At 38.1% G+C, this 22181-nt stretch overlaps 1 protein-coding gene, 2 long non-coding RNA genes and 2 other non-coding genes across 5 annotated transcripts in view, besides 1 other annotated feature; 4 read left to right on the top strand and 1 right to left on the bottom strand.

The window, feature by feature from the left end:
• IARS2 (isoleucyl-tRNA synthetase 2, mitochondrial) overlaps positions 1–22181 on the bottom strand; it is a 53910-nt gene that overhangs the window by 25188 nt on the left and 6541 nt on the right. The window contains exons 4-12 of the mRNA NM_018060.4: positions 20577–20725; positions 20442–20491; positions 20250–20359; positions 20077–20167; positions 19292–19407; positions 16794–16963; positions 15703–15793; positions 11917–12068; positions 8380–8540 (exon numbers count right to left, since the gene is read on the bottom strand). Of these exons, the coding sequence (NP_060530.3) occupies positions 8380–8540; positions 11917–12068; positions 15703–15793; positions 16794–16963; positions 19292–19407; positions 20077–20167; positions 20250–20359; positions 20442–20491; positions 20577–20725 (1090 nt within the window). The remainder of the gene's footprint in view (positions 1–8379; positions 8541–11916; positions 12069–15702; positions 15794–16793; positions 16964–19291; positions 19408–20076; positions 20168–20249; positions 20360–20441; positions 20492–20576; positions 20726–22181) is intronic.
• LOC124904515 (uncharacterized) lies at positions 3741–5112 on the top strand. The gene is made up of 2 exons (XR_007066883.1): positions 3741–3869; positions 4971–5112. It is a non-coding gene; the product is annotated as an uncharacterized LOC124904515 (long non-coding RNA).
• On the top strand, positions 4613–4697 carry MIR194-1 (microRNA 194-1). The gene has a single exon (NR_029711.1). It is a non-coding gene; the product is annotated as a microRNA 194-1 (primary transcript).
• On the top strand, positions 4892–5001 carry MIR215 (microRNA 215). The gene has a single exon (NR_029628.1). It is a non-coding gene; the product is annotated as a microRNA 215 (primary transcript).
• Positions 8012–8181: an enhancer, noted in NCBI's record as "experimental_4917 CRE fragment used in MPRA reporter constructs". NCBI's record gives its function as "activates a minimal promoter by MPRAs in K562 erythroleukemia cells, with activity observed for the non-introgressed 1:220288100 variant allele {active_cell/tissue: K562}" and the evidence as "EXISTENCE:reporter gene assay evidence [ECO:0000049][PMID:34662402]".
• Positions 10262–11277, top strand: LOC105373475 (uncharacterized). The gene is made up of 2 exons (XR_922613.3): positions 10262–10413; positions 10734–11277. It is a non-coding gene; the product is annotated as an uncharacterized LOC105373475 (long non-coding RNA).

Here is a 22181-nt window from a genome sequence, read left to right as displayed (position 1 = left end):
ATAAAAATAATATCGAAGTAAAAGTAAATGTCTCAAATTTCATATTAATTTAGCAAATACGGTAGAAATGTTAGGATAAAGAGTATTTTATGTATTTGTATGTATAAAAGATAAAGAGTATTTGTATGTATACAAAACTATGTATATACGTACACCACATATCTTTTTCGAAGCACTTTACAAGCACTTGCTAATTGGATTCACAGAAATACACAGTGGGTCTTGAGAAATGATTTGTTCTGCACCTTAGGGTTCCTTAAATTATGAAGCTAAGCAAGTAACAGTTAAAACCAGGGCTTGAATTTGTGTTTCCTAAATCATACATAGTTTGGTGTGCTGTTTTTACTTCTTTATTCTGCCTCTCTAACTCATCTATAAAGACAACACTGTAACTGAATTCACACTCTTACTCTCTGGAGTTTGCTAAGCAATGGCAGAAAGGCTCTTTTACCCAGGCATAGAGTGAAGACTACGTATCAGAGATGAAGTGAGGAACTAGGCAGTCTCAGGAGATTAGTGTGTTGACACAGCAAGCACTAAGTCCAAAGACCAGACTCTAACTGGACTTAACTGGAAAATGACAGGAATAAATCATACTATTTTTTGAGTTTCAGTTTCTATAAACATCGGAAAAAGTGACGAAGACTAGGCGAAAATTTTTATTCTTAAAAGAAAAAGTCCTAATAACTAAAGAAAGTGAGTAACGTTATGACTATAGATGAAACATATCCATTTTATTTTATTTTAATTAATTAATTTTTTTGAGACAAGGTGTTACTCTGTGGCCCAAGCTGGATTGCAGTGGCATGATCATAGCTCACTTGAAGCCTTGAACTCCTGCGTCAAGTAATCCTCCCGCCTCAGCCTCCTGAGTAGCTGGGACTACAGGCCCATGCCAACATGCCCTGCTTTCTTTCCCCCCCTCTAGAGATGGGAATCTCGCTTTGTTGCTCAGGCTGGTCTCAAATGCCTGGCCTCATGCAATCCTCCAGCCTTAGCCTCCCAAAATGCTGAGATTATGGGTTGTGAGCCACCACACTCAGCTCCACATCCATATTTTAGAATCCTAAATTCAACTTTAATAAAACTAAGCTCTTTTTCATATTCTTGGCCTGGCACGGTGGCTCATGACTATAATCCTAGCACTTTGGGAGGCCAAGGCAGGAGGATCACTTGAGCCCAAGAGTTCAAGACCAGCCTGGGCAACATAGTAAAGACCCCACATCTATTTTAAAAAAAATAAAAATAAGTTCTTTTTCATATTCCTAAATATCAGAAAATTCAATGACATTTTAAATGTTATTTAACTACATTCAAGTAACCTACTGAGCATATAACTAAAAGCATTAAGAAAGAAAGATTCCAGTTTTGCTGTTGGCATGTTATTAAAGCAACCGTAAAATCCCACCAAGTTTAGTCAGACACCTCTAGTCTAAAATTCATTTTAATTGCTACATTTTTATAACAATATTAGTAATTTAGATATAGCGCATATTTTAATATAAGAAATGTAATTTTGTGTTTTATACATACTTTATTTGCAAATTTAAAAAACTTTTTAAAAAAACTGACAAAAGTCTCTTAGTGAGGAGGAAAGGTTTTTTGTTTTTCTTTTAGCTTACCTAATTACACTTACGAGAAACAACGTAACTACACATTAGCTACATCAATGAAAAGCAATCCTGCAATTATTTTTAAAAATCCAATTTCAAAAAGGCTACTGTAAATAAAACAACATACTTCAGATTTTTTTCCTTGTTACATAAGTATATGAATCAGAACAAAAGAAAAATTTGTTCAATGTATCCAAAAGAAACATGAAACATTTTTAAGGGAAGAAGCTTTATCTCATTAAGAGAGCAAGTCTCACTAATATTTAGAGAGCAAGACTTCCTTCCTTACTTTATATTGTGAATTATGAAAACATCATGTTCTAAATAAAGTCTACTAAATGCACTTTAGTAAGCATTATGTTCTATAATTCGGTTCTATTATGAGATTCTAGATAAATTATTTGTATTTTTAAAACAATAAAGTTAATTTTAAAATAAGAGAGTAAAGAAAAACCCAACAAATACATGTTAATTAGCTAGATTTAGCCATTCCACAATGCATACATATTTCAAAACATGTTGTACATAATATAAGCAATTTTTGTCAATTGAATAAATTAATTTTGGGCGGGCACGGTGGCTCACACCTGTAATCCTAGCACTTTGGAAGGCTGAGATAGGTGGATCATTTGAGCTAAGGACTTCAAGACCAGCCTGGGCAACATGGCAAAACCCGGTCTCTACAAAAATACAAAAATTACCCAGGTATGGTGGTGCGTGACTATAGTCTCAGCTACTTGGGGGGTGCTGAGGCAGGAGGATCACTTGAACCCAGGAGGCAGAAGATGCAGTGAGCCGAGATTGCACCACTGCACTCCAGCCTGGCAACAGAGTGAGACTCCATCTCAAAAAAAAAAAAGGCCGGGCGCGGTGGTTCACGCCTATAATCCCAGCACTCTGGGAGGCCGAGGCGGGCGGATCACCTGAGGTGGGGAGTTCGAGACCAGCCTGACCTACATGAAGAAACCCCATCTCTACTAAATATACAAAAATCAGCCAGGCATAGTGGCGCAAGCCTGTAATCCCAGCTACTTGGGAGGCTGAAGAAGGAGAATCGCTTGAAGCTGGGAGGCAGAGGTTGCAGTTAGCCAAGATCCCACCATTGCACTCCAGCCTGGGGAACAAGAGCAAGACTCCAACTCAAAAAAAAAAAAAAAAGTGTGACAGAGAGCTTTGAAAACAAAAATTGCAATAAAAATAAACAGACATATAACCCACAAACTTGAGCTAGGTATAATGATGATAAAAACAAAGATAAACTTAATGTTCAAACAAAATCTAAAAAGATAATTTGAAAAAAGTATATAAAGTTAACTGTGAACAAGTGCTCAAAAGACACTCATTATAGAGATGTGACAAACATCTAACAAAATCCAAACACTGGATAAGTTATGTTCATTTGATTTTCATACACAAGGAACTAGGCAACCATTAAGAGCTAAGCTGACATTTTTAACAGGTACATATTCATTCTTCTATAACTAATTAAATTACATCTTCTTTTGTATATCATTATGTTCCTTTATAAACAACTGTATTGGACATCTTATATACATATCCTCACACAAGAGGTATTAGTCCTATTTCCTTTGGGTAAATACTTAGAAGTGGAATTTTTTTATAATGAAACCAAGATAATACTTAAAAGATTTCTTAAATAATTTTCTGTTTCCTAAAAAAATTTTTAAACAATTTTCTAACTATTTCCTTGTGATATTTAATATTCTTCAGAAAAAAATGCAGGAAAATTCCTAATTTGTCTGAAATTTAAGAATTCTACCTTCATTTCTTTAACATTGTATACTTAACACAAACTCATAGTTAACCTATAACCCAAAGATCAGTATAAACGACTGCTGATAAAAGTGGGTGAAACCACTTACCAGTATGTAATCTATATGCTTCCATCTTAATGCTTTACTTCATAAAGCAATAAATCCATCATAAAACCTTGTACTTTACTCAAAGGCCTTATCTCAACACATGCATTACGTGTCCCTTCTTAGGTTTCAATCAGTGAAAATCCACTAGGTAGCATGAGCAACTATGACATCAGCCAATCATTCTGAACTTCGATATCAACCGGAATGAGGCTTATTTAGCGTGTTATGGACATTAAGCAGCATTAAGATTACTAAAGCAACAAAGAAACGACTGCTGTCATCCCACTGTCTTCTGTGTTTTGCCTTTATAAGCAAAAATATTGAAGATTATTAAGACAACTTTTCTTCTGTAACTTACTGGAAGAAGAATGAGGTAAGAGGCTAAATGTTTCACATTTGTTTACTAAATTTAATTCTAGAACAATGTGAAATTTGGAAGGGGAAATTCTATTTTTAGTTTAATCCTAGATTTATGTTTTAAAGCTGACAGAAAACCATTTTGAAGAAATTTTTCTTTATTTAATGAACATAAATTTTTTGAACAAAAGGTTTATTATTGTTAACTGAGAAAAAATTTGAGGTAGCTAAAGTTAACACTCAAATTATATTGGAAATTCCTTGGCTATTTTTACTAAATTTCTCATAATTTCCAGAAGTTAGGGGCTAAGTTTCACTATGTTAACTATAGCATTAATAGCATGAAAGTGATTATAACTGTTTGAAATGATGAAAGAAATTTAACCAACTTCTTTTCCTTCCCAGGTAGCCAGTGTTTCTACATTTTATCTTTTTTATGCTAAAAATTATTTCTTCTGTTTTTATTGACTAGTAACAGATTTCAACCCAAATTCTAATGGCATTATCTCACAGATTCAAAAAATGACCAATGACAGTAAAGTCAGAAATGGAATTATTTCTTGATAAAATACAAATATGATCTAAAATGCAAATGACACTATTAATTCAAATCAAAATAAAACATCAGCGTTTCAAATCTACCAGTCCCTAAACTTATTTAGAACATGAATAAATCGAGACTTTCTTCTGTGAAACAAGTATACTTAGAGATATCGTACAGCTCCCATGATGAGCAAAAGGAATCTCCTTATATGTTTAATGGTGTTATCAAGTGTAACAGCAACTCCATGTGGACTGTGTACCAATTTCCAGTGGAGATGCTGTTACTTTTGATGGTTACCAACTTGCTACAATATAAAGGTATAATAAAGAAAGACAGAAAATTGTGGTCACTTGGACTCTCATTTGATTCCAGCAGAAAAAAAGATTTTCAGCCTGTTTTATAAAATTAACAAATGATTAAGAATTAATATCAATTTTCTTAAATTCAAGTTTTGTAACACCAAAAAGATCCAATAATGGAAGAGGATTAAAGTCATCATTCAGAAATGGTATACAGGAAAATGACCTATGAATTGACAGACAATATAGCTGAGTTTGTCTGTCATTTCTTTAGGCCAATATTCTGTATGACTGTGCTACTTCAATATCAGAAATCGACTAACACCACGCAACCAACGCAATGGCAGGTACACAGAAGATAATCTGTAACACTACCATGTAAATGTATTGAGTAAATAAAACATAAATATACCTAATGAAAACTTGTGTTTTTCTGACAAAGCTCATATTTATTTAACCTAACTTACTGACCAGTCAACCTATGTACCATTTAATTATCAGGATGTATCAATTAAACCAGTTTGCTATATTTACTAATACATACATATGATCCACCTCAGAGTCCAGAGGGCTATTCCACCAAGGAATCCCCACCCACCTCAATCACTTCAGTGAAATTCCCTAGACATCTTGCTCTCTAAATAGTGAAAAGAAGAGTAGCCGGGCACAGTGGCTCACGCCTGTAATCCCAGCACTTTGGGAGGCTGAGGCGGGCGGATCACTTGAGGTCGGGAGTTTGAGACCAGCCTGACCAACATGGAGAAACCCCGTCTCTACTAAAAAATATATATATATAAAATTAGCCGGGCGTGGTGGCACATGCCTCTAATCCCAACTACTCAGGAGGCTGAGGCAGGAGAATCACTTGAACCTGGGAGGCGGAGATTGCAGTGAGCTGAGATCGTGCCACTACACTCCAGCCTAGGAAACAAGAGTGAAACTCCATCTCAAAAAAAAAAAAAAAAAAAAAAAAGAAGAGGAGACAATGACATGGCTTATAAAACTTTCCAAAAAAAAAAAAAACTTTCCAGTGTGAAATTTTAAACAAATGTTTGTGGAAACTCGTCTCAGGTATAATCACTTTAATTCTTTTTCTTTTAAACTAAGTCTGAGGCTGGGCATGGTAGCTCATGCCTGTAATCTCAGCACTCTGGGAGGCAGAGGTGGATGGATCCTTTGTGGCCAGGAGTTCGAGACCAGCCTCGTCAACGTGGCAAGAGCCCATCTCTACTAAAAATACAAGAATTAGCCAAGTCAGTGGCGCGTGCCTGTAGTCCCAGCTACTCAGGAGGCTGAGGAGGGAGAATCACTTGAACCTGGGAGGTGGAGGTTGTAGTGAGCCAAGATCACATCACTGCACTCCAGCCTGGGTGACAGAGTGAGACTGTATCAAAAATAAAATAAAATAATCTGAACTGGACAGAATTTACATTAATTCTTAATGTAAGTATTAAGATATTAGTAGTTTACATCTGACCAAGCTCTGTAAGAACACCACAGCAACAATATTTAGATTATTCCTAAAGTCTTACCTCAGATCCAACTTATAATAATATTGAAATAGCTTTCCAATGACTTTCCAGTCTCTAGCCTCTACTTTCTTTTCCTAAAACATACTCTTACTCCTCAAGTCTACTTAAAAGTTTAAACTTCTTAATAGCATAATTTAGAAAAAATTCCATTCACCAAATTAAAAAAAATTGCTCAAAGAAAATGAAAATCTGGAATGTGTTCCTAAAAGGAAGAATTAACATTCCCCTCTCCACATCTGTGAAAAACAGCAACAACACTCAAAGCCTCCCTAATATTACTAGAAGATAAACTAGCTAGACTATTATCTCATTAAAAACAGGGGCCATGTCAGTCTTGTTCACTGTAGCAACTAGCAGTTCCTAGCACTGACACGTACTAAGTGCTTGACAATGTGTTCTGTTTTGTTTCGTTCTGAAGAGACAGTGTCTTGCTCTGTCATCCAGGCTGGAGTGCATTGGCATGATCATAGCTCACTATAACCTCAAACTCCTGGACTTGAGCGATCCTCTCGCCTTAGCCTCCCAAGTCGCTGGGACTACAGGCCCACACTACCACACCAGCTAATTTTTAAATTTTTCTGTAGAGATGGGGTCTCACTGTAATCTTGAACAGCTGGCTTCAAGCAATCCTGCCGCCTTGGCCTCCCAAAGTGCTGGGATTACAGGCATGAGCCACTGTGCCCACATAACAATGTTTCTTAAGTGAATACATGAATAGCTCATCATCTATGGAATACTGTGCTTTACACCAAGTAGTTTGCATTTATTATTTAGTATTCATAACAGTCTACCTGCAACCATTGCTTTTCCTATTTTATAGAGGAGCCAGAGGCTAAGTAAATTCCTCAGTCTCACACACAGTGAATGGCAAAGCCTGGGTTCAAATTCAGTTGCCATTCTCCAAAGCTCACAGATTTCCAAGCAACTTCTCTTTCGAAAAGCACAAAAGGGAGCTGTTCGGGATAAAAGAATTATTCTAAGACACAATTATGATAGTGGCTGTAAAACTTAACAAATTTACTATAAATCACTTATAATAAATGAATTTTTCTTTTTTAATTTTTTTGAGATAGAGTCTCACTCTGTCACCCAGGCTGGAGTCCAGTGGCACGATCTTGGCTCACTGCAACCTCTGCCTCCCAGGTTCAAGCAGTTCTCTGCCTGAGCCTTCGGAGTAGCTGAGATTACAGGCCCGCGCCACCATGCCTGGCTAATTTTTGTATTTTCGGTAGAGATGGAGTTTCACCATCTTGGCCAGGCTGGTCTTGAACTCCTGACCTCATGATACACCAGCCTCGGCCTCCCAAAGGGCTGGGATTACAGGCGTGAGCCACCGCACCTGGCCATGAATTTTATAGTATGTAAAGTATGCTTTAATAAAGCTTAAGAATGAGGCTGATCTATGTGTAGTGATTTGGAATAAATCATAACACATAAAGTGAAAAAAATCTAGGCACAGAGCAGAAGATAGAGATACTCTCTTTTGTATAAACATATGTATGTGCTGACAGAAGAATTCATTTTTTCTGGAAAGATTCAGAAACAGCTGTAAACAATGACTGCCTCAAAAAAAGGTTCTGGATACCTGGAGTAGGAAAAAGCCTACTTTTCAGTGTACAAGCTTTTCTACTATGAATTGTTCACTATGTCCATCTATTACCTTTCCAACTCAAAAAAAAAAAAAGGGAAAAACTGGGAATATAATCATCAGTGTAATCATGTGCATTTAACTACAATTTCTTAAATTTTAAGTATCTACACAATTACATAATCCCATTTCCACTGAAAAGGAAAGCAGACTCAGAATGTGAGAGTGATTCTCTTCATTCCTTTAGAAAAAATACATTTCAGGCTCCCCTGCTAAACACTGTCCATCTTTGGATCCATGATACCTTAATACAGCCCAATAAATTCTCATAGAAAAAAAGTCAGAGACTTTACTTCTAAGTATCAATATTTAAGAAAATCTAGTTAATATTTTAACTGTATGATAGAATTGTTTTGAACTTATATTTTAGTCCCCCAAAAGACTATTTTAGCATATTTTATTTAACATATATAAACGGTTCTTAATCATCCACATTATTTTTCAATTTTTGAAGAAAAAATATTTCACTTTAAAACACTAAAAAATTTTAGAAAGCATTCTACCTGTTGATCAAGTATTCATCCTTGGTCTTATGATGAAACACAGGAATTGGAACACCCCAAACTCTTTGCCTTGATATACACCAATATGGCCGCCTGTCCATCATTTCAACCATGCCATTCAGTGCTGATCCAGGAATAAATTTCACCTTTTTTAACAATTCCTGCAATTAATTCATAAATCAAGTCTTGTGAGAGAAAGCAGAACAAGTATTCTAGAACAGTCAATTTTCCAAATGCATTTGTTTCTTTTGGATGTTTGTAGCCATTCACATACCTCCCTTACCCTCCCCTCAAAAAAACAACTAAAGAACTAAAAGATTTCAGAGCAAATAAGGCAAAGTAAAAATGGAGCCGCGAAGAACTTAATAAATAATATCGGGAGCAGTGATAATATCAGGAGCATTGTTGCATTTTTTAACAATGTTACAAAAGATTTCATACCAATTTCTAATTTACACCAACCCTAGATCAAAACTGGTAATAAAAGCTTTCATAGAACTATTATACTTCACTAAACTATAGTTAAAATCAATTCAAACTTGATTTCCACCATTTTTTAAAATGCTTAAAAAATAAATTACTATCGTAGACTGCCAAAAAAAGATTGCGATATACCTAATTTTACATAATATAGTTTACAACACAGAAAACACTTTCTCAAAATAAGCCCAAGTATGTGGTTCAAACCTGTAATCCCAGCATTTTGGTAGGCTGAGGTGGGAGGATCACTTGAGCCCAAGAGTTCAAGGTTGCAGTGAGCTATGAGCATGGCAGTGCACTCCAACCTGGGCGACAGAGCAAGAGCCTGTCTCTAAAATAAATCTCTCTCTCTCTCTATATATATATATCTATCGACAAATGGCTAACAGTTACTTCCTCTCAAGAAAGCTCCCTTCCTCCATTCCCAAAATAAGGTTGAAAACTGCTACCATTTGATTTAATTTGTCAACTAGCAAAAGATTAACTGTATAGCAAAAATGTTTACTAATAGTCTCCAAAAAGGTCAAAATGTTAACTTCATTTTAAAAAATCTTTCTATCCATTAATAAAAGCATTTTTACATTTTCAAAGAAGGTTTAAATGGTTTCCTCACTCACCGTAACTACCAGAAGTCCCCTCCCACAAAGCTCTCTGTAGCACCACCTATTGGCAGAATGGCAAAATCTCTACAAATCAATTTGATTAATACCATACTTGGTTTAAAAGTCTAAGAAATGTGAATATTGAATAGATATTTGATTTTGCTAAGGAATAACTATTACTTTTTAAAGGTGGTGATAATGGCATGGGAATTATGCTTTAAAGAGTTTGGCCGAGCATGGTGGCTCACGTCTGTAATCCCAGCACTTTGGGAGGCTGAGGAGGGCGGATCACCCGAGCTCAGGAGTTCAAGACCAGCCTGGCCAACATGGAGAAACTCCGTCTCTACCAAAAATACAAAAAAATTAGCCGGGCATGGTGGTGCATGCCTATAATTCCAGCTAATCAGAAGGCTTAGGCAGGGAATTGCTTGAACCCAGGAGGTGGAGGCTGCTGTGAGCCAAGATCACATCACTGCACTCCAGCCTGGGCAACAAGAGTGAAACTCCATCTCAAGAAAATAAATAAATAAATACAGAGTTTATCTTTGGCTGACACCTGTAATTACAGCACTCTGAGAGGCCGAAGCAGGCAGACTGCTTGAGCTCAGGAGTTCGACACCAACCGGGGCAACTTGACAAAACCCTATCTCTAGAAAAAATACAAAAATTAGCCAGATGTGGTGGCACAGGCCTGTAGTCCCAGTTACTCAGGAGGCTGACGTGGGAGGATAGGTTGAGTCCAGGAGGTGGAGGTTGCAGTGAGCTGAGATCACACCACTGCACTCCAGCCTGGGTGACAGAGCAAGACCCTGTTTCAAAAAAAAAAAAAAAAAAAAAGAGCTTATCTTTCAAATATATGTGCTAAAATATCGCCGGGACAATATATAATATGGAAGAAATAGTGCCTGGAATTTGCTTTAAAATAATCCAATTGTTAAGGGGTAAAAAGTAGGTGGTCGGGCCGGGCGCGGTGGCTCACGCCTGTAATCCCAGCACTTTGGGAGGCCGAGGCGGGTGGATCATGAGGTCAGGAGATCGAGACCATCCTGGCTAACAAGGTGAAACCCCGTCTCTACTAAAAATACAAAAAATTAGCCGGGCGCGGTGGCGGGCGCCTGTAGTCCCAGCTACTCGGGAGGCTGAGGCAGGAGAATGGCGTGAACCCGGGAAGCGGAGCTTGCAGTGAGCCGAGATTGCGCCACTGCAGTCCGCAGTCCGACCTGGGCGACAGAGCGAGACTCCGTCTCAAAAAAAAAAAAAAAAAAAAAGTAGGTGGTCGGAGGGGTGTAGATAAAAACAAAATTAACCAAAAGTTGATTATTGTTGAAACTGAGTGATGGGAATACGACAATACATTATCCTATTCTCACTACTTCTACAAAGAACAATTTTTAACTTTACAAAAAAGTTAAAAAAAAAACTTGGCTTAAATATATTGCGTCAGACTTAGATGTTCTACAACCAAAAATCGGTGCAGAGCTGCAATTTACAAATTTTAACATTGACAAATAAGGAAGAGAGGCTTTAAATGAAGAAAAAACCAAAATGCACTATATATTATAGTTGTCCACATTACACAAGTATAGAAAGTATAAACTGCTATAAAAAGCTTTGGCAAGGACCCCAAATTGCCAGGCCAATAAATGAACCAGCTAAATACAGTAGTATCTTTCAAACTGTAAAGCAAAATATCTATATATTCAACCTGGTTAACACATATATATTTAAGCTCTTTCATTAAATAGAATCAAGTTGTGAGAGATGTTTACACACACACACACACACACACACACATATATATATATATATATATATACCCATATAGAAAGATACATATTAAATGAAAGGGCTCAAATATATATTAAGTATTTAAATACCAATTATAAGTATTTGTTAGCTCCAAAGCAACAACTTTGTATATTTTTCATATTGTTAGTTTTTCTTTTTAATATGCTTCCTTTGTAAGCAGAACAGTAACTTTTTTAATTGATTGTAATTTCAATCTTAAGGAAGCAAAGGGTTTAAAAAAGTTTTACTGACTGCTTATTATGTATCAGACCATATTCTGGAAACTCGAATTTCCTTACTCCATGAGATACGCATTATTACCACTTTATATAGATGAGGAAACAGAGGCAGTGGGAGGTTAAACTAGGTAACACAGTTCTGTCCAAATTCTATGCAACTTTGACTACACTGGGCAAGAAAGTCTATCTACTAACAGTGTGATGTGGACAAATCACTCAACCTCTTTATGCCTCATTTCTCACACATGTATAATGAAAAAATGGAAGTCCAAGGTCCTTCCAGATCTAAAATTCTACAATGTTATGAAACTAAATCATAATAGCAGCAATCCCTATTACTCCTGAAACCCCACCTCAACCTCACATGCAGCCCCTTTATACTGAGGGAATGATATGCCCGACCTGTTAAAACAGGATGCTTTTTATACCTTGGCTGCAGTCTTAATATCCGTGATGTTTATAAACCACTGCTTGCTGGCACGAATAACCACAGGTTTCTTGGTCCTCCAGTCATACGGATAGCTATGCACCAATTTCTCCTCTTTCAACAAATTCTTTGCAGTCTGAAGCATCTTTATAACTTTAAAAAAAAAAACACCAAATTAGACATAATTAAAAAGTACTGTGAAAATCCTAAAAATGCTCTAAACTTCCAGAAAATACTAAATCTGCAGCAACAGGTGGCAATAAGAGTAGTCACCTTGCCAGCCACAGTGGCTCACACCTGTAATCCCAGCACTTTGCGAGGCTGAGGCAGGCAAATCACGAGGTCAGGAGTTCGAGACCAGCCTGACCAACATGGTGAAACCTCGTCTCTACTAAAAATGCAAAAATCAGCCGGGCATGGTGGTGTGTGCCCATAATCCCAGCTACTCAGGAGGCTGAGGCAGGAGAATCGCTTGAACCTGGGAGGCAGAGGTTGCAGTGAGCCGAGATCGTGCCACTGCACTCCAGCCTGGGTGACAGAGCGAGACTCCGTCTCAAAAAATAAAAGAGTAGTCAACTTGGCTGGGCGTGGTTGCTCACGCCTGTAATCCCAACAGTTTGGGAGGCAGAGACGAGAGGATCACTTGAGGTCAGGAATTCAAGACCAGCCTGGCCTGCATGGTGAAACCCCATCTCTATTAAAAATACAAAAAAATTAGCAGGGCACAGTGGTGTGAGCCTGTAATCCCAGCTACTTGGGAGGCTGAGGTGGGAGAATCATTTGAACCTAAGCTAAAGCGGAGGCTGTAGTGAACCGAGATTGTGCCACTGCACTCCAGCCTGGGCAACAAAGCGAGACTCTGTCTCACAAAAAAAAATAAAATAAAAAAGAGTAGTCACCTTCCAGGTATCAAAGGCGTGCTCTGGGATTCTCCTGGCAAAAAAAAGCACGGACTGTAAAATCTTAATCAGACTCCAAATTATGCCACTTCTACCTCTTTTCACGTCAAAGAAAAGATGAACAGATTATATCTAGAATTCTACATTTGAAGTTTAGATCCATAATCTTTCATGCCATGAATCTTAAAATGGTCTCCAGGTAATCTGGAGGAAACCAGGTGTAGTGGGTTGAACTGTGTCCCCAAGAAGATCTAACCCCCAGCACTAGTGAATGTGACCTTACTTGGGAATCAGGCCTCTGCAGATGTAATCAAGTTTAGATGAGGTCACACTGCATTAGGGAGCACTGGTGTTCTTAGAGGAGGATAGAAAGAAGATTATGTTTTTGCCACTGATTCAGCCATGTGAAACTCATCTCATTACCCTTTTCTGGGTTTGAAGCTGCTGTCTCTAAAAGTGCCATCTCATTGTGCTTAATATCAGTTAATGCTAGAGAAATCTTAAATAGCTTATGTACAAAACTTTTTTAAATTTTTGTATTATTTTGAAACTTTGCTTCTTTGGGTGGCACCCTGGCCACCCAGTTTGACTGTGACAGCCCTCTACAGTCTGTGAGCTGGCAGATTTTTTTTTTTTTTTTGAGATGGACTCTCGCTCTGTTGCCCAGGATGGAGTGCAGTGGTGCAGTCTCAGCTCACTGCAACCTCTGCCTCCCAGGTTCAAGTGATTCTCCTGCCTCACCCTCCAGAGTAGCTGGGATTACAGGCACCTACCACCACACCTGGCTAATTTTTTGTATTTTTAGTAGACACAGGGTTTCACCATGTTGGCCAGGCAGGTCTCGAACTCCTGACCTCGTGATATGTCCGCTTCAGCCTCCCAAAGCGCTGGGATTACAGGGGTGAGCCACCGTGCCTGGCCGGGCTGGCAGTTTGCTGATCTTTTAAAGTTTCTTTCCCTACCCAATCCCCACTTTCCGATAAGGTTTCTGTAAAGTCTGTCAGGTGTACATCCTGCAGCATACTGGCTTAAAACGTACTGTCCTTTGATATAGTCTCTTTGGGGCCGATTGGGAGAAACAGAAATCAATAGTCCACCTGCTTTGATACTGAATATTGACAAGTGTCTTTTTGAAATAAAGAACCAGTCCCTCCAATAAAAAAAAAAAAAAAAAAAAAAAAAAGAGGATTCACAGAGAGACATTTAAGACCTAAAGAAGGTGGCTGGGTACGGTGGCTCACACCTATAATCCCAACACTTTGGGAGGCCTAGGCAGGTGGATCACTTGGGGCTGGGAGTTTGAGACCAGCCTGGCCAACATGGTGAAACCCTGTCTCTATTAAAAATAAAAAATAGGCCGGGTGCGGTGGCTCATGCCTGTAAACCCAGCATTTTGGGAGGCCAAGGCAGGTGGATCACGAGGTCAGGAGATCGAGACCGTCCTGGCTAATATGGTGAAACCCCATCTCTACTAAAAATACAAAAAATTAGCTGGGCATGGTGGCAGGCGCCTGTAGTCCCAGCTACTCGAGAGACTGAGGCAGGAGAACCCATGAACCCAGGAGGCAGAGCTTGCAGTGAGCCAAGATCGTGCCACTGTACTCCAGCCTGGGCAACAGAGCGAGACTCCGTCTTAAAAAAAAAATAAAAATAAAATAAAAAATAAAAAAATTATGGCCTGACACAGTGAGGGCTCACGCCTGTAATTCCAGCACTTTGGGAGGCTAAGGTGGGCAGATCACCTGAGGTCAGGAGTTCAAGACCAGCCTGGCCAACATGGTGAAACCCCATCTCTACTAAAAATACAAAAATTAGCCAGGAGTAGTGGTGTGTATCCTGTAATCCCAGCTACTTGGGAGGCTGAGGCAAGAGAATTGCTTGAACCCAGGAGGCAGAGGTTGCAGTGAGCTGAGATCACACCACTGCACTCCAGCCTGGGCAACAGAGTGAGACTGTGTCTCAAAAAAAAAAAAATTAGCTGGGTGTGGTGGTGTATGCCTGTAATCCCATCTGCTCAGGAGGCTAAGGCACAAGAATCACTTGAACCCAGGACACAGAGGTGGCAGTGAGCTGAAAGCATGCCACTGCACATCAACCTGAGTGAGAAAGTGAGATTGTCTCGAAAAAACAAGTAAGATCTAAAGAAGGCCATGTGACAAGACAGGCAGAGAGTGGAGTAACGCAGTTATAAACCAAGGAATGCCAAGGATTTCCAGGAGCCACCAAAAGCTAGAAAGAGGCAAGTAAGGATTCTCCCATAAAACCTTCAGGAAAACATGGTCCTGCCAGTACGATGAATTTAGACTTCTAGCTTCCAGCACTTGAGAGAATAAATTTCTGTTGTTTCAAACTACCAAGTTTACGGTGATTTTTTACAGTAGCCCTAGAAAAGTAATATATCAGGTCTAAATAGCCTTAGTCTTAGTGTGGGCAAAGAAAGGTTTTCATAGCACTTGGTCTCTGAATCTGTAAAGGAAGACAGAAAGACAATTCAAGGCTGGAGGATTCCCAAGATTCTAATACATAAATCATGCCATATAGGTCAGTTATTTACAAGGGTTAAAAAGTGAGTAGGGAATGTGTAATTTACAGTCAACATCCAGCCCTGATCTTGATTGTATCCTTCCACAAAAGTAATACTGCTGATTATTATCTCCATAGCCCTAAAATAACTTCACTCCCTGTTGACTGCCCTGACTTGCTTAAATAAAGCAGCTTCAAAGCAAAAGATGAAAAAGTCCCAAACTCCATTTTAAAACATATGGCAAAACAAGACATAATTTATTTTTTTGTTTCTGTTAAAGTATAAGGAGGGAAAATAGGTAGCAAAGGTTACTGCTACCTACTTTTCAGAAAACATGTATGATATCAACAGATATGATGCTCACCCACATCAGTTCCCTCTTCAAGGACAGCCTTGTTTTGAAGTTCAGGACCTGCAACATCTGTGAAAACTCCATCTTCGTCCACTAGACAATCCTATAAAGTATCATTTTGAACAATTAAAATATCAAGACATTTTCTCTTATGACAATATCTGGCAAAACAATATATATAAAAACATCTCAGTATAGCCTGGTCTTTTTCTACATTGAAATTCTAGGTACTTGGCCGGGCGCGGCACTCAGGCCTATAATCCCAGCACTTTGGGAGGTCGAGGTGGGCAGATCACTTGAGGTCAGGAATTTGAGACTAGCCTGGCCAACATGGTGAAACCCACTTCCACTAAAAATACAAAAATTAGCCAGGCATGGTGGTGTGCACCTGTAGTCCCAGCTACTCGGGAGGCTGAGGCAGGAGAATCGCTTGAACCCTGGAGGTAGAGGTTGCAGTGAGCCGAGATCATACCACACCACTGCACTCCAGCCTGGGCGACAGAGCAAGACTCCCTCTCAAAAAAAAAAAAAAAGAAAAGAAAAGAAAAGGAAATAGGAATTTGTGAATTTTATACATTTAAATCACCAAAGCCAAAATGTGTTATTGAAGCATATCCATAAACTTTAATAACAAAAGTAACAAAATATATTAAAACATCTTTGAGTGGTCTCTATTGTTTCCAAATCTATGCCTATATACACAGTTGTTCCCTTTCTGACTCACCTTTTAACTAAACGGAAATACTTGCTAAGTAACTGAAGTATGTAAAGTAAATGTAGAAAGGACTGTTTAGCTAAAACAAACAGGCTTTTTCAGGGAATAAAAGTAATTTGTCTATGTGACTTGATACTAGAAAAAAAGTATTTTAAAAGTGCCCCATGATATATATTCTTCAATTCTAAAGTGCTAATTTTCTATTAATTCTGGGAAATCTTTTTCAATTAGTACGAATTAATGAAACTTTAGAGTACTACACAAACCTGAGCATTTCACAATTATGATGACAAAAGTCATCATTTTTAAAAAATGAAGATGTTGGTTAGAATTTATCATTTCCTTTTATTAAGATGAATAATTAAAAATGATAAAAGAGGAACAGTACCATGGGCAGGTTGTGCTGAGACGCTACACCGTAGTCTTCCATACCATGAGCTGGGGCTGTGTGAACCAATCCCGTTCCTTTTGCCATGGTCACATGATTTGCAGGTAAAAGAGGAGAGGCTTTATCAGGAATTAATGGATGACTGCAAGTACCATTTTCCAAATCTACACCTGTGGGGAAAGAAAACCACTATTAAGAATCATTTTATATGGCAAATCTATCTCCTTAAGCTTAGCAATAGAGTATCAGGTTAAATGTGCAGAATCTAGAACAATACTGGCTAGGCTTAAATTCCAGCTTCCCCTTTAACTTGTTCTGTGACCTTCTATAATCTATAAAATGCAGATAATTATGGTTCCCACCTCAGAGGGTTTCTGTGAGAATAAACAGAGTTAATGTAGTTTAAGTGTTTTGATACTTACTGCATCTACCACTTAATATTCTCCCTCACCACCCTCCCAAAATGATCTCTAAGTAATTGATAAGAAATAATTCATTTTTTTCCGGAAAGAAAACCTACCCCATACAAATTACTTCATTTTTAGCTCTTCAACATTCCTACTACTTTAATAAGTAGTAGCTACGTGACACCAGCTTATTTTGACAGGGATAATATATATACTCCTCCACAATATGGTGACTCAAATAGCAACTCAATAATTATCTGATAGTAAGAATTTGAAACAATTATGCTATCTAGACAAAAGATCTTTAAATTCAACCTTAACACTTTCAAAAATCTTGTGATTTTTAGCTTCTATGATAATGTATAACTTGACAATGAAGTCTTTAATATCCTCTGCATTTATAAAAGAGCAGGGGGCTGGGTGCAGTAGCTCATGTCTGTAATTGCAGCACTTTGGGAGGCTGTGGCAGGAAGATTGCTTGAGCCCAGGAGTTTGAAACAAGCCTGGGCAACACAGTGAGAGAGGGTGTGAAGTAAATTATTATCTTGGTTTTTATTTTTATTACCCTATTGCACCAAAGAGGACCAAATGGTCTTCAAAATTCTTAAGCTCCTTTCCTGCCTCTGACATAAAAATCTTTTTATTTTTGTTAAGGTTGTTTAAACTTCTCATTGGCTTGTATCTGAACTGATTAATTTAGAGGGCTTTCCTATTTAGCTAGGCAGTCTTTCTAGGCAGTTTTTGTATCTTTATTCATGTGATAGATTTTTTAGCAAGAAATTAAAAGATATATCATACCTAAGGATCAAAGATAATTTTAGCCCAGGCATGGTGGCTCACGTCTATAATCCTACCACTTTGGGAGGCAGAGGCAGGAGGAACACTTGAGCTCAGGAGTTCAAGATCTGCCTGGGCAACATAGTGAGACCTCATCTCTTTAAAAATAAAATAAAATAAAATAGAATTTTAGTCCAGGCACAGTGGCTCATGCCCATAATCCCAGCACTTTGGAAGACCAAAGCAGGAGGATCACTTGAGGCCAGGAGTTCAAGACCAGCCTGGGCAATGTAGCAAGACCTCATCTCTACCAAAAAAATTAAAAATTAGTCCAGCATGGTGGCACACACTTGTAGTCCCAGCTACTCAAGAGGCTGAGGCAGGAAGATCACTTGAGCCTAGGATCCAGAGGCTGCAGTGAGCCAAGATGGCACCACTGCACTCCAGCCTGGGCAACAGAGCAAGACCACGTCTCAAAACAAAATGAAGAACAACAACAACAAAAAGCTAATTTTAAACTTCCCTAGACTTCCATAATTATATTTCAAAGCAGTCACTACCTCAAAAGTCCCAAATTATAGCTCACAAAGAATTATTTTGGGCTAGGCACAGTGGCTTACGCCTTTAATCCCAGCACTTTGGCAGGCCAAGGCAGGCAGATCACTTGAGCCCAGGAATTCCAGACCAGTCTGGGCTACACAACAAGAATTCATCTCTGTAAAATATTTTTTCAAAATTAGCCGGGTGCAGTGGCATGTGCCTATAGTCCCAGCTACTTGGGTGGCCAGGGCAGGAGGATTGCTTGAGCCCGGGAGTTTGAGGCTGCAATGAGCTGACTGGACCACTGCATTCCAGCAGTGGGCAACAGCATGAGACCCTGTCTCTTTAAAAAATAAAATAAAATAAAATTCCTTTGATAGAAGAACTGCTTTCTGAATAATTTTCAGAACTTATTCAATCCTTTATTAAAATTATGTATCGAAAAATAAGTATATGCATTTCCTTTCTTGCTACTTTTATTAAAACAGATAAAAACAATTTTAAAAATTAATTTTGCATAAAATTTTACCAAGTAACTACTGGATATTGCCAGAAATTAGTTTTACCTGTTGTACATTTATCAATATTCATATTTTTCTATACTCCTATCATGCTTAATGTATATTCTCCTTTAGTGTAATCAATGTAAAATGTATTCTAGAAAGGTAGAGGCCATATCTGTTTCAATTCAAAATATGCAGTTCAGCAAAGTAGTAAATTCAAGTCAGCCCAATACTTTGATGACTATGTTGTCAGATATCTAAAAATCTTCACCTGAAAGTGTTGAAATAGTCTCAAATGTTGTTTCCAAAGTAGAAGCAACAGATGCTACTTTATCTGCCGCCAGTACGTAGAGGTCTCCAGACTTAGAACATTTCACAACAGCATACCTAACATAAAATTTTAGGAGAAATTACTAATAATGAAACAAGAAAAGCCACAGATATCATTTTAATTTTTAAATAATCATTTTAGAAAAAACTGACTTCAGGCCAGCGCGGTGGCTCATGTCTATAATCCCAGCACTTTGGGAGGCCAAGGCAGGTGGATCACCTGAGGTTGGGAGTTTGCAACCAGCCTCACCAACATAGAGAAACCCCATCTCTACTAAAAATACAAAATTAGCCTGGCGTGGTGGCGCATGCCTGTAATCCCATAATCCCAGCTACTCGGGAGGCTGAGGCAGGAAAATTGCTTGAACCCGGGAGGTGGAGGTTGTGGTGAGCCAAGATCATGCCACTGTACTCCAGCCTGGGCAACAAAAGGCAAAACTCGGTCTCCAAAAAAAAAAAGAAAAAAGAAAAAACTGACTTCAAGATCAAACTGTACTATTTTCAAAACACTTTGTAACTTATACTTCTATTTCATTTTCCCGAAAAGCTGGATAAGGTCATAAAAAGGATCACCTAAAGGTTAATAAAATCTATATGAACATAATAACTAAGTTATAATTCATTAAATTTTACAATAATAAACAGGATAAAATAAATTCAAAATAATGTTAATAATGGAATACATTCTATTTGTGTATAAAACAAAAAATGCAATAATATACCCACTTTGATTCAGGCATATAGCAAACAGCTTCATTGGCTGGAATCGTCCAAGGTTGTGTGGTCCAGACCAAAATACTAACAGGAGATGAACCATCTGTGAAAATACAATTGTAAATATGTTAGCAAATGGGATAATTCTATAACTTTGGTACACTCAAGCTATGAATAAATCTTACCTATAAGAGATGCCAATTTTGGAGAAGGCTTTAAGAGAGGAAATTTTACATATATTGAACGACTGACATGCTCAGGATTATATTCAAGTTCTGCTTCAGCCAATGCAGTCCTAAGGGTTAAAAATATTAAACATAAATACTTGGAAGCCTCACAAATTTCTCCCTTTTAATTACCGAAAAATGCATATATACCTAGATGACGGAGACCAAAACACAGGTTTGTAAGATCGATAAACCAAGCCCTATAAAAGACAAAAATATGATGTTAAAAGTAGAATCTTGTAACGCATACTAAAACCTACTCAAAGAGAAAAAATACTTCTTTACCTTATCATACATTTGGTAAAAAGTTCTCAACTGTTTGGCTTCATACTTCCCATCAAATGTATAGTAGCAATTATTCCAATCTGCCATTATTCCCCAACGAATAAATGCTGATTTCTGTTTCTCAATGGCTGCTTTAGCAAATGATCTAGCTAAAAAAAAGACGAAAAAAAGATTTTAAAAAACCAATGAATTCGAATTCTTAAACATGGTTTAGCATGTATCTCTCTAAATGCAAATGCTACAGACAGTTTAGAATGCAAATTTTTTTTGAGACACAGTCTCGCTGTCACCCAGGCTAGAGTGCAGTGGCGCGAGTGGCATGATCTCGGCTCACTGCAAGCCTCTGCCTCCCGGGTTCACGCCATTCTCCTGCCTCAGCCTCCTGAGTAGCTGGGACTACAGGCGCCCGCCACCACGCCCGGCTAATTTTTTTGTAGTTTTAGTAGAGACGGGGTTTCACTGTGTCAGCCAGGATGGTCTGGATCTCCTGACCTCGTGATCTACCCGCCTCAGCCTCCCAAAGTGCTGGGATTACAGGCGTGAGCCACGGCGCCCGAGCACAAAATTTTTTTTTTTTGAGATGGAGTCTTGCTCTGTTGCCCAGGTTGGCATGCAGTGGCGGATCTCAGCTCACTGTAACCTCTGCCACACAGGTTCAAGCAATTCTCGTGCCTCAGCCTCCCAAGTATCTGGGACTACAGGCGTGAGCCACCATACCTGGCTAATTATTTGGTATTTTTAGTAGATACGGGGTTTTGCCATGTTGGCCAGGCTGGTCTCAAACTCCTGACCTTAGGTGATCGATCCACCTCCCTCAGCCTCCCAAAGTGCTAGGATTACAGGCATGAGCCACTGTGCCCAGCCTATAAAAATTTTTTAATAGAAAAATAATTTGAAGGTCAACAGTGTTCAGAAGATACCTACAACAAATTCTAAAATTAACTGGAATTGCAAAAGTTAAAATTTTATTACTGTCTTCTGTATTTTCCAGACTTTATACAATGACCTCATATTTAGGACAAATAAACTGGAAAAATTATTCCTTATTGTTTCTTAATTTAAGAAAAGGTCAGATAACAATTTTCATTTCATTATACACAAAAAATTAATCAGAATATCAAATCTAAGCCAATGATAATAGGTTTCACAAGGAAGTAAAAAAATCTTCACAGTTACATCCAAATGTACAATAGTATAACATATAAGAAAAAGAGAATCCTCCCTTGGCCCAGTCGACTGAAGAAAAAGGATCAAATAAAAGATTAATGTAAAATATATGTATTTTAGAATTGAATTTTGGCTTAACACCTAAAATCAGTCAACAAGCCCCCTTGAGGAAAGCAGAAAAAAGAATTTACCAAAAAATAGTTTTTTAAAATATGAACATTAAGAAACTGAGAATGCAATCAGAAATGCTCACAAAGTCTTTCCTTCAATATCCAAACATAAGTTCTTACAAAAATCAATGAAATAAAATCTGAATTTTCTGTGACAGAAAGGCGTTTCCAATAGATCTTATTATAAGCAAACGAAACCCAAACAAAAGGTTCCTTTGGTAAAGTTCTGACTATTTCAAGGACCTGAGTGTTTACAAATATCATTTTA

This window comes from Homo sapiens, chromosome 1 (genome assembly GCF_000001405.40).
Source record: "Homo sapiens chromosome 1, GRCh38.p14 Primary Assembly".
Lineage (NCBI taxonomy): Eukaryota > Metazoa > Chordata > Mammalia > Primates > Hominidae > Homo > Homo sapiens.
The sequence above is the reverse complement of the archived record's forward strand: the minus strand, read 5'-3'. Positions and strand labels throughout refer to the sequence as shown.